This window comes from Homo sapiens, chromosome 18, assembly GCF_000001405.40.
Source record: "Homo sapiens chromosome 18, GRCh38.p14 Primary Assembly".
NCBI classification, from domain to species: Eukaryota; Metazoa; Chordata; class Mammalia; order Primates; family Hominidae; genus Homo; species Homo sapiens.
Window position 1 is genome coordinate 32,284,404 of NC_000018.10, and position 12,629 is coordinate 32,297,032.

The following is a 12,629-nucleotide window of genomic DNA, read 5'->3' on the forward strand; positions in this document are numbered from 1 at the left end:
TTTAGCATTTCTTTTTTAGTACCAAGGGCAAAGCTGGACCTCTTAATATTTATGTTCTTACTCATCTTTCATTAGCCACAGAAAAAACAAGTGATGCTAGTTTCCTACCTCTAGACTTGGTTACATAAATGACCCTGGGTGTGACCATCTCAGATGAGTCTGTAAGTCAATCAGCAAACATGAGTCCCCACTGTGTGCCAGGTAGGACCTAAGTTCAATAGGAAAAGCTCATGCAGTCATGTTTCTATTGAAGGTCAGAGCCCCAACCTTCAAGTAACATGAAATACATAGCTGAATTAAGACATCCCTCAAGTTCCAGGAGTACTTGTTTGGAGGGGTGCCCCCTTACTTTTTTTTTTTTTTTTTGAGACAGTCTCGCTCTGTCGCCCAGGCTGGAGTGCAGTGGCGGGATCTCGGCTCACTGCAAGCTCCACCTCCTGGGTTCATGCCATTCTCCTGCGTCAGCCTCCCGAGTAGCTGGGACTACAGGCGCCCGCCACCACGCCCAGCTAATTTGTTGTATTTTTAGTAGAGACAGGGTTTCACCGTGTTAGCCAGGATGGTCTCGATCTCCTGACCTCATGATCCACCCACCTCGGCCTCCCAAAGTGCTGGGATTACAGGTGTGAGCCACTGCGCCTGGCCCGCCCCCTTACTTTTTACCCGGCTTTTGATGAACATTCTTAGGGAATTGCTGACATAAACCCAAGGGCCAAGGACCCCGGCTCCACCATTAAGTTCCCCAAATAGTCCATGATATTTAGTGAATACAGGGATCTCTGGGCTTGTGCCTGATGGTCCCCAGAGGATCCTGTAAGGATCAAGGGCAAGTCCAGACCTGTAGCTGCTGGGGAGCTCTCAAGCCCTGCAACAGAGGGCCAGAGGTGGGTCCTCTCTCAGGAAAGCTCTGCAGCAATGAGGGCTCTTTATGGACAGCTAAGCGTGGAGCCTGGCACAAACTGCTGCCTGACACCCAGGGCTGTCCATGCCCTGGCACCAGCCTTTCAGCCACCACTGCCCTTCCTGCACCCTATCCAGCCCTATTCAACTGCCCCACAGAACTTCTTGTTTTCCCTCTTACATGCTTAAAGCTGCCCCAGCTTCCAGCTCGTTGCTCATGCTGCTCTGTCCGGAATGTCCTTCTTTCTCATCTCTCTACTCTTCCAATTCAGGTACATTTTCTAAACTCATTTAAAATGTCATAATCTCCATGGAGGCTCCTCTCATTCATCCCGCGACTAGAAGTTTCTCTGTCTCTTCTGAATTCTCCACACATTATCTCTCTCTTGTTTTCCTATTGTTTATCACCTTTTAACTTGTATTAACAGTCATTGCTTTTCATCTGTTACCTTCCCTGTAAAACTGAGACGTACGAGGGGATAGAGTCCAGGTTTTCTTGATGATTGTATTTCTAGCATCTAGCCTAGTAATTCCATAGTTTTTAAAAACCCGGTTCTGCATAGCCCCAGGGTTCCAGAAAGGTGTCCTAAGATCACCCGGTAGGGGCAAAGAGTGGGCAGGGACCCAAGGAAGACCCCTTCCCCACAATCTGTGCTTTGGTCAGGTAGGTTTTGATTTGAACTCTTCTATATATTGGGATTCATGTAATTCTTTTAAAAAGGATTCTTCTAGAGATAGAAAAAAGAAAGCCACTGTAATAGATACTGTCAAATAAATTAATAGAATTACACTTAATACCTCTAGCCCTTTCTCCCTCAGGGATAATGAAATTCAGTGATCAAAAATGAGTAGCAAAGGTTCAGAGTGGCTGCCAATTGAAGAACATGGTCAAAATAGAGGGCCCTTTCTCTTGTTCTAAACAGAACTGTACCAAAATTTTAGTTTTACATTAGAATCAAGCTCTGAATGAGTTATGTTTAAGGTGTTAAATAGAACTACCCTGGCACCTGGTTCTGGAGTGTGTGTGTGTGTGTGTGTGTGTGTGTGTGTGTGTGTATAATACATTAGCACATCCGCTATGCTTTGATCTCAGTGTAACTTCAGGGATATAGGAAAGAGTTATAAGTGAGGCTACTGCCTCTTGATTTTCCTCTGCTTCCCCTCCCACCACCAAATAAATTTACTCCTCCTTCAGTCTTCCCCATCACAGTAAATGACACTAATATCCATTCTGTTGCCCAGGCTAAAAATCTAGGAGTTTTCTTTGATTGCTCTCTTTTCTTCATGCCTGACATCCAACTCACAAGTAAATATTGTTGGGTTTACCTATGAAACAGTCTGAAGCAGCCGTCTCTCTCTGCCAGCCACTACCAGCTGCCACGGTTTAGGGCCTTACCACCTCGCACCTACCTTAATGCAGTCGCCTCTTCTCTGCTTCCCACCTTCTACTCTCTCCTCCCTATTATCCATTCTCCGGGCAGCAGCAAAAGTCATGTTTAAAACTCTCCTGTTAAAAACTCTCCAAGAGGTTCTCATCAGACATAGAGTAAAACTCTAATTCCTAAATGGTCAAAATAATCAAGCTAGCATGTGTATCTCACTCCAAACTAAACAAATTTGCTCACTCTGCAATCTTCAGTTGGGGAGTTTTAAGAAAATAAATTAGTGGATGACTGAGCAGAGAGACAGAAAGACTGGCACCGCATTCAAAAACAGAAATGACTTACGGCTTCAGATTTGGGAGGCACTGGAGGTGGAGGTAGGGCAGTATCTGAAGACTTCACTGCTGCTCCCAGAGTCCCAGGGATGGGAAGAGGAGAAGTCGCACATTTGGATCGGACAGAACCTCTAAACTGATCACATCTGTTCTTCTCGCTCAGAGAGCGAGTGAGAGGCTGATGGCTGGGCTTGCCTTCCTCCAGCCACAGCTCTTCGTAGGGAAGTTCTGACTTTCCCGGGATGCCTGCTGATTCTTCACTAGCTTCTGGGAAAAGGTAGTCGCTCCCACTATCTCCAGAGTCCTGATAGGGCAGGATGTCATGAGGAAAGGGAGCCCAATCTCCCCCCAGGTCCCTGCAACCATGAAGGTTCACCTCACTGTTGCCATGGAGATTGTTGCCATACACACAGACCGAGAGTCGGTGGAAGGACTGGGTGAGCTCATCGCGGGCGTAGCTGAGCGAATTGGGCACGTGGTTGTGGCCAGAGCACCGACCCTTCTTGGGGCTCTTGCATTCTTCATTCCAGTCGGTTTTCACATCACGGACAGCCCGTGAATACTCATCGATGTCGAACTGTTCTTGGCAGATACCTAGCCAGTGATGGACCAGGGTTTCGGGCCAGCTCTCTCCCTTCACCAGGTGTTCTGGGAGGCTGAACTTGGGGACAGTCAAGTGCAAAGGAAAGTGCATGGGGAGGATCTTGTTGTTCCGCAGCACACAGCAAACCACCACCGTCTTGGTCTGGATGTTCACAAACTTATAGCGGTGCCCCTCACGGATGAAGTGGAGGTCGTATGGGTTTCTCGGTGGAGGGCTTGGCACAGTCACATTCACAGGAAGCCTGGTTTTCTCCACAATGTTGCGGATGGTGTGTTCGCCCTCTTGCATCTGAAGTTCCAGGGGACTTCGGGTGCTAAATCTGCCCTTGCACTGGAATGGAAGGCTAATGCTTTCGTTGGTCCGGTGATTCATACAAATGAGGCACGGCATTTTGCCTTTTCCCAGCTTGCTGATGGAATTGAGCTTCCCAATCTTTTTGAAGATTGTGTTGAGTCGTGACTTTTCCTTGAATGTCTTTGCATAAAGGATTTCTGCCTGCCCCATTAGAGTGAGTTCATCCCCAGTACACAGGGTGATGTTGTAAACTTCAGTGTCTTCATTGCATTCACCTGAAGCAACCTACAATATAATAAATCACATTTTACGTTCATTTCCTTTGATCTATTCACGCAAAGAACTTCCTATTAAGACACACACAAATACACACACAGAGGAAAATGCTGCGCTTTTCTTTAATACTAAATTTAGACACCTCATTTCTTTTATTATACTTACGTGATTAACAATAACTACTATTTGTTCAAGATGATATTAGTTTAGAATCTTATAAACATCTCTTTTCTCTATATATGCAGAGTAATCTATCATATGGATACTAACAGGGATATTGTCATTTTTTCTTTTGCAGTTATAAATGTTTTCATGAATGCTGATGTAGAAAATTCCTTGTTTTTTATTATTTAAATTTTAATTTTTTACTTTTTAAAATTTTATTAAATTTTTAAAATTTGAAATTGAGAAAAAGAACTTAAAAATGTGGTATTTCTCAATTTTTTAAAAAATTATACATCCATTATTTAATTGGAAGAAATATTAAAAATACAAATATAAAAATGAAGAACTTCTATACTATCTTATCACTAAAGATAATCTGTCAAATATAAATAGAAAAAAGAAACAGAATTGATCCATCTATCTCAGAGATACAAATAGATACATATATACACAATTCTGTTACCTGAGTTTCTAACTGTATCCATTTCCCCCGGGCATATCCTTCATCAATAGTAATACTAACCTAATGTATTCCATTTTGTATGAATGTGCATTATTTGACTAGTTCCTTACTGTAAAATAAAAATATAGATGGATTTTTCCAATGTCTAGCAATTATAAATAGTACTGCAATGAACTTTTTTACAGCTCAATTATTTCCTTAGGATAAAGTACTAGAAAAACTGCAGGGACAAAAGCTACGCATATATTTGTTTTTTTGTTTTGTTTTGTTTTGTTTTTGAAGACAGGATCTTGCTGCCCAGGCTGGAGTGCAGCAGCATGATCACAGCTCACTGCAGCCTTGACCTCCCAAGCTTAAGGAATCCTCCCACCTAACCCTCCCAAGTATCTGAGACTACAGGTGTGAGCCACCACACCTGGCTAATATGCATATATTTGAAAGGTCTAATATGCACTGCCCACTGTGTTTTCATCAATGTTATACTTATTTATACTTTTATCACTTTATGAAATTATGTCTCCCTACACTCACACTGAAGTTTATTTCATGCTTACCAGCATGAGAGGTAAAGCATGCATGCTGAATATATTTTAAATATATTTATTGGTATATTCATTTTTCAGTATTTATCTAATTATTTAGATCTCTTACTGATTACTTTTTGTGTAAATGAAAATGTCATTTGTGCTATGTATTCTTCCATTTGTTGTTTGAATTGCAATTTTATAGCTTAACTATTAAAGTTGTTTTTTTTAAAATGTAGTCAATATTTTCAAAATTTTCCTTTGTGATTTCATTCTTGGGTGCTATGCTTCTAGCTGAGATGATATAGATTCATGATTCTGAACCAGGGGTGACTATACCCACTAGGGGGCAATGTTTGGAGACAGCTTTGATTGCCATGACTGGGGAAGCTGCTGTTTGCATCTAGTGGGTAGAGGCCAGGGAAGCTGCTCAATATGCTATAATGCCCAGGACAGCTCCCCACAGCAAAGAATTAGCCAGTGCAAAAATATCAGTGGTGCTGAGGTTGAGAAACGCTGGTATAATTACCAGTGTTTTCTTTTAATACTTTGCTATGTATCTCTATTTTTTGAATCCTAACCACTAGCCCAACAGGGAATGTAACTGTATTTACTCTGGTGGCTTATTTAAGGTAGGTTTTTTTTTGTGTGTGTGTGTAAGTTAACTGAGTGTTGAGTGCACTTCCTAAAGAGTCATCCCTTTCATCACTAATTTGCAGTGTCACTTTTACTGTATACTAATATTATATACTTTTATATCATAAATTAAAAATATATAAAGTATTATATACTAAGTTCATAAAATACATTCAAATATATACCTATATTTGCATTTATTTTCAGGCCATTTATCTTAGCGACCTTTCTATTTTCCCACTGTAACTATATTGTTTTTGTGTCTTCATCTTATATTTTCAGATCTGATAACAAAAGCCCTGACTTGTGTTTATTCTGACTCAAAAAGTATGTGGATGGCAGAAAACAAGAGAAATAAAGTCAAAAGTCAAATGACAGACTGAAGATATCTGCAAAACATATCACAGATAAAGAGCTAATATCTCTAATATACAAGCAGCTTTTTAAAAGTAAGGACCTGAGACCATCCTGGCTGACATGGTGAAACCTGTCTCTATTAAAAACACAAAAAAATTAGCTGGGCATGGTGGCACGTGACTGTAGTCCCAGGTACTTTGGAGGCTGAGGCAGGAGAATCGCTTGAACCCGGGAGGCAGAGGTTGCAATGAGCCAAGATTGTGCCACTGCATTGCAGCCTGGGTGACAGAGACAGACTGTCTGAAAAAAAAAAAAAAAAAAGAAAAATAGGCAAAATACATGAAAAATCAATTAACTAACAAGATGTACAATGGCTTTCAAACCTATGAAAAGATGTTCAACTTCTTTCCTCTAAGAGAAATGCCAATTAAAATTATACTAAGATACCACTTCTTACCTAACATATTGATTAAAAATTCAGAAGCTTGACATCACACTCAGTTGGTAAGGCTATGGGGTAAAAAGCATCCTTGTCCATAGCTGGTGAGAATACAGCATGATACAACCCGTGTGGCAGGGAATTTGGCAATATCAAGTCAAATAACATATGCATTTATCCCTCCATCCAGCAATCCTACATCTAGGAATTTACCCTGAAGACATTCCTCCAACAATATGAAAGTACACATGTATAAGGTTATTCACTGCAGCATTATTTGTCTTTGCAAAATATTGGAACTCATCTAAATGCTTAAATATAGGAGGCTGACTGAATAAACTACGGTACACACACTTCCTGGTACTATGCAAAAGACAATGAGAATAATGAATCCAAGGAATGCATATGAAATGACTTTCAAGAATATATTGTTAAATAAAAAAAAATAAAGTGCAAAAAAAGTTTATACAGTATACTTTTTTTTTGTTTAAGAAGAAAGGAAAAATTAGTATATACATTTTCTTTTTATTTTTGTTACCAAAAAAAAAAAAAAAAACCAAAAACATGCACAAGGAAAAACAGAAAACAATGAAACTGGTTACTTACTGGAGCTAGGGACAAGGGAGGAAATGATACCTTTCTGAGTATACCTTGCCACAGAGTTTTGACTGCAAGGATGTATACTAATGTGCTACATATTTTAAAAATTAGGTCAACAAGAATTTTTTTTTTATTATAAGTTCTGGGATATGTGTGCAGAACGTTCAGGTTTATTACGTAGGTATACAAGTGCCATGGTGGTTTGCAGTACCCATCAAACCATCATTTACATTAGGTATTTCTCCTAATGCTATCTTCTCTCCCTTAGCCCCCCACCCCCCAACAGGCCCCGGTGTGTGATGTTCCCCCAGTGTCCATGTGATCTCATTGTTAACTCCCACTTATGAGTCAGAACATGCAGTGTTTGGTTTTCTGTTCCTGCGTTAATTTGCTGAGAATGATAGTTTCCAGCTTCATCCATGTCTCTGCAAAGGACACGAACTCATCCTTTTTTATGGCTGCATAGTATTCCATGGTATATATCTGCCACATTTTCTTTATCCAGTCTATCATTGATGGGCATTTGAGTTGGCTCCAAGTCTCTGCTATTGTGAACAGTGCTGCAATAAATATACATGTGCATCTGTCTTTATAGCAGAATGATTTATAATCCTTTGGGTATATACCCAGTAATGGGATTGCTGGGTCAAATGGTATTTCTGGTTCTAGATCCTTGAGGAATCACCACACTGTCTTCCACAATGGTTGAACTAATTTACACTCCTACCAACAGTGTAAAAGCATTCCTATTTCTCCACATCCTTTCCAGCATCTGTTGTTTCCTGATTTTTAAATGACTGCCATTCTAACTGGCATGAGATGGTATCTCATTGTGGTTTTGATTTGCATTTCTCTAATGACCAGTGATGATGATTTTTTTTTTCATATGTTTGTTGGCTGCATAAATGTCTTCTTTTGAGAAGTGTTTGTTCATATCCTTCACCCACTTTTTGATGGGGTTGTTTTTTTCTTGTTAATGTAAGTTATTTTAAAACTGAATGCAAATGGAAACAAATGCAAAATCCAACTGTTTTTTAAATCAACAAAATAACCATTCTGGGGAAAGAGAAAATCCAAGTACCTTTGGAATGCTGTCTGATATGGTTTGGCTGTGACCCCAACCAAATCTCACCTGGAATTGTAATAATCCCCACTTGTCAAGGACGGGACCAGGTGAAGATAATTGAATCATGGGGATGGTTTCCCCCAAGCTGTTCTCGTGATAGTGAGTTCTCACGAGATATCATGGTTTTATAAGGGGCTTCCCACATTGCTGGGCACTCATTCTCTCTCCTGTCGCCCTGTGAAGAGGTGCCTTTCTCCATGAGGGCAAGTTTCCAGAGGCCTCCCCAGCCATGCAGAACTGTGAGTCAATTAAATCTGTTTGCTTTATAAATTACCCAATCTTGAACAGTTCTTTATAGGAGTTTGAGAATGGACTAATACACTTTGACCATATAATGCCAGTAGGGAAAAAAAGACCAATAAATATTCTGATCCTTTTGGTAGATTTGTTTTTCATAGGGATATGGGTAGAGAAACTCTGAGTCAAATTTATTTGTATTGTAAGATTGAATGAATGGCTAAATATATTGATGTCTTGCGAGTTACAGAGATTGCATTTTGGAAGGAGAGACAGAAATACGGAATGAAGAAGACCAGGAAAGGCAAGACAGAGCTCCTTGGGGTTTGGATTGAAATTAGAGGTATCTGTACTAACTCACACTTTTCAGCAGTTATACACACAGACACACATAGACACACAGACACACACACACACACAGACACACACACACACGTATATCTTAGTTTTTTTCCTTTCCAAGCAACCAGACACTGCCCAAATCATTCCCCACTGAGAGGAACCAGGGCTCCCTGGAGAAATGATGAATTCCAAGGGTAGGGCTGAAATGGTACAAGGTGTGCTTGGAACATTTTGTCATGCCAGAAAGTAAGGTGCTCATAAGATGATGGGAACATGCCAAAAAGACACAAGAACCAGCCTAAATGAGCTCCTACTGCTAAAATCTGGGACAATTTGAGCATCACAATAAAGACCACGATGAATTATAATCTATTGAATAAAACAGGAACACCTAAGTCCATGCTGATAGCAAAAAGATGACAAACAAGGAAGACTGGAAAATCATAATTTTGAAACTTATTATTTACTTCATTATTTATTACTATTATACTTTATACTATTATAACTTTAGTAAAGATCATTTTATATAAGAATCATCAATAGATCCAAATTTATAGGAGTTTGATTAAGGAGGTGATTAAGGAGGTTATATGCATGGTCTTAGTGTCTTTTTCCAGAATGCTTATTCACTGCAAGAGGAAAAAAGTAACTATGTAGTGGAGAATATACCTTGGACAGTACCTTGACCAGGTTATCAAATTTAGTATCACCAAAGAGGCATACTGACATCCTCTACCTCTGAATGTGACTTCCTGAGAAGTTCATGACCTCGCTTATGTACCATTCTAGCCAAAACTATTATGAAAATCCCATCATGAGGAAATATCAGACAAACCCAAACAGAAATATTCTATAAAATACCTGGTGTGTATTCTTAACAAAATTTCCATGCCAGAAATGACAAAGAAAGGCTGAATGATTGTTCCAGATTAAAATGAAATAAGTAATTGTTCCAGATTAACATGAAATAAAGAGAAGTGAAAAGTAAATGCAATAAAGTACACTTTTGGGACATCTGACCAAATTGGAATCAGGACTATAAATAAAAGTATCGTTATCACTGCTAATATTCCTGAATATACTGTGTTTACATAAGAGAAAACCCTTATTCTCAGGAAATATACACTGATGTATTAAGGGGTAAGGGACATAATGGATTCAATTCACCCTCACATGATTCAGAAAAAGATACGTTATATTACGCATACGTGTATCTGTATATGTGAGTGGAGTCCGGGGAAATGGGTAAAACAAATGTGCTAAAATGGCAAAAGTTGGTGAATCTGGCTAAAGTGATAGGGTGTCCTCATTATTATTCTTGGAACAATTCTTTAGAACTGAAATAATTTAAAAATGAAAGGTTGAAAAATTTGCCTTTTCCAGATAAACTTTAGAATCATTTTTTCTATGGTTTGTAATGATAACTTTATTGTAGTACATTAAATCTACATGGTGTTTTGGCAAGAAGTGACATCACTGTAACAGCATTTCCAAAGAGGCACATAATTCTCATCATTTATTCAGATCTTTTATTTCCCTTATTAGTATTTAATTCTGCCTTCATTATCAATCCCTGGACACTGCTGTTGAGTCATAGTTGTTGAATATGTTTTATTGCTATTTTGCATGTCCAGTGTCTTACTGTAAGGTTTTTTCTCCAGTTAATTCTCTTGGGATTAGGTGATTATAACTTACACAAATGATGAAAAATTTATCTTTATCCTTTCAATTTTCATCCCTTCTCTCATAACAGAGTGGTGGTGGTGACAGTGAGCATTTTAGTGTTTCAGATTTTAATGAGAATATTGTGTTTTAATATAAAAATACGATAAATTTGTTTGAGATATTCTTTATCATGTAAGTAATGTCTTTCCAATTCTAGTTTTCTAAAAGTTTCTACAAATAAAATTTTTAAAAATTTTAATAAAAATGTTGATTCTATATCCAATTAAGATGGTCATATGTTTATTTTTGTTGTTGTTGTTGTTGTTTTGTTTTTGAGATGGAGTCTTGCTCTGTCACCCAGGCTGGAGTGCAGTGGCATGATCTCGGCTCGCTGCAACCTCTGCCTCCCGGGTTCAAGTGATTCTACTGCCTCAGCCCCCTGAGTAGCTGTGATTACAGGAGTGAGCCACGTGCCTGGCCCATATGTTCATTTTTCACTTCTCTAATACACTCATTATATATTATAATAGATTCCTAAATATTAAAATAATTCTACATGCTTGAAATAATCTCCACATGATCATAGTACACTTAAGACAATACTGTGTAATTCTCTGATAGTACCTGACCTATGATGTCGGCATCTTTGTCACAGATGAGACTGGCCTACAGTTTTATTATCTATATTTTATCAGGTTTTGGTATCAGGCTTACATTAAACCTAAGCTTGAATTTTTTTCTCTCATGTTAATAAAAATGTCTGGGTAAAGTAACTGACTACGTTCATACCATATACTGAGTGGTGATCATCAATATGTGTTTAGAAAACTAGGAAGAGCAACCTTTGTAAATAATTTCTTACCTTCTATTCTAGGTGATCTCTGTATAATTTTAATCTTTGGAACAAGTAATTTGTCAATCAACAACAGTACTATAAAAAACAAACAGCTTTGTTGTTTCCAATAGTGAAGTGAATTTCTCCGTAGGAGACATTGTAAGTACAGAAATGACAGCACAATATTGTTTTAATGGGAATATATGCTGCCAAGGCTTAAAGTCCATTTTGGATGATTCAGGTAAGTATTGCTATTATTTTTTAACAAGATCTCAACCTAACTGTGTTTACTTTTAGTACTTCGGTATTCATCTGGTTCTAACATAGATGCTAGGCATCTAAATTCAAGCCTAGGAATTTAAATACATTTTAGCTTTTTCTTTTTTTTTTTTCTTTTGAGATGGAGTCTCACTCTGCCGCCCAGGCTGGAGTGCAATGGTGTGATCTTGGCTCACTGCAACCTCCGCCTCCTAGGTTCATGTGATTCTCCTGCCTCAGCCTCCCAAGCAGCTGGGACTACAGGCACGCGGCACCATGCTCAGCTAATTTTTGTATTTTTAGTAGAGAAGGGGTTTCACCATATTGGCCAGGGTGGTCTTGAACTCTGGACCTTGTGATCCGCCTGCCTCAGCCTCCCAAAGGGCTGGGATTACAGGCGTGAGCCACCACGCCCAGGTAGCTTTTTATTTGGAATAATCTCAGATTTGCAGAGAAGTTACAAAGGCAGTACAGAAAGTTCCTGTATACTCTTTACCTAGCTTCTGTTAACATGTTATGTGACCATGGCATGTTTATCAAAACTAAGAAATTCACATTAGTACAATACTATTACATAAAGTACAAGTTTTATTTGGATTTCACCAGTTTTTTTCCCATGAGTGTCATTTTGATATCCCAGGATCAAGCCAGGATACCACACTGCCTCTGGTCCTCCGATCTGTGAATTTCTTGGCCTTGTTTCTAAGGCTTTGACAGTTTTGAAGAATATAGCTCAAGGTTTTTGTTTGTTTAGAGCTAAACATCATTTATAAATGACAGTGCTTGACACATACAAGGGCTTTCTTTTTCCATAGGACTTGTAGTTTCAAGTTTTCAGTTATTATTATTATTTTTTTTCTTGGCAGTTTTTTTTTTTTTTTAAGAGACTGGGTCTTGCTATGCTGCTCAAGCTGTACTTGAACTCCTAGGCTCAAGTGATCCTCCTGTCTCAGCCTCCCAAGTGGCTGGGACTAGAGGAACAGGCTGCTCTGTCTGGGTCCTGGTTTCAGTTATTTTATTCTCTTGACTTAGGTCACCAAGAATCATCTGCTATCAATTTTAGCCTTTGGTTTATCCCTAAGGCTTTTACTTTCAACCAGCATCTAGTTAAACTTACAAAAATATAGATCAAAGGTCAGCAAACTAATACCCACAGTCCACACCTGGCCCACCACTTGGTTCTGTAAATAA

The 12,629-nt window shown here is 38.9% G+C and overlaps 1 protein-coding gene across 6 annotated transcripts in view; it reads right to left on the reverse strand.

Annotated features, from left to right (window-relative positions):
• GAREM1 (GRB2 associated regulator of MAPK1 subtype 1) overlaps positions 1-12,629 on the reverse strand; it is a 207,361-nt gene that overhangs the window by 20,882 nt on the left and 173,850 nt on the right. For all 6 annotated transcript variants that reach the window (NM_022751.3, NM_001242409.2, XM_024451234.2 and 3 more), the window contains one exon: positions 2,628-3,800. In NM_022751.3, the coding sequence (NP_073588.1) occupies positions 2,628-3,800 (1,173 nt within the window). The remainder of the gene's footprint in view (positions 1-2,627; positions 3,801-12,629) is intronic.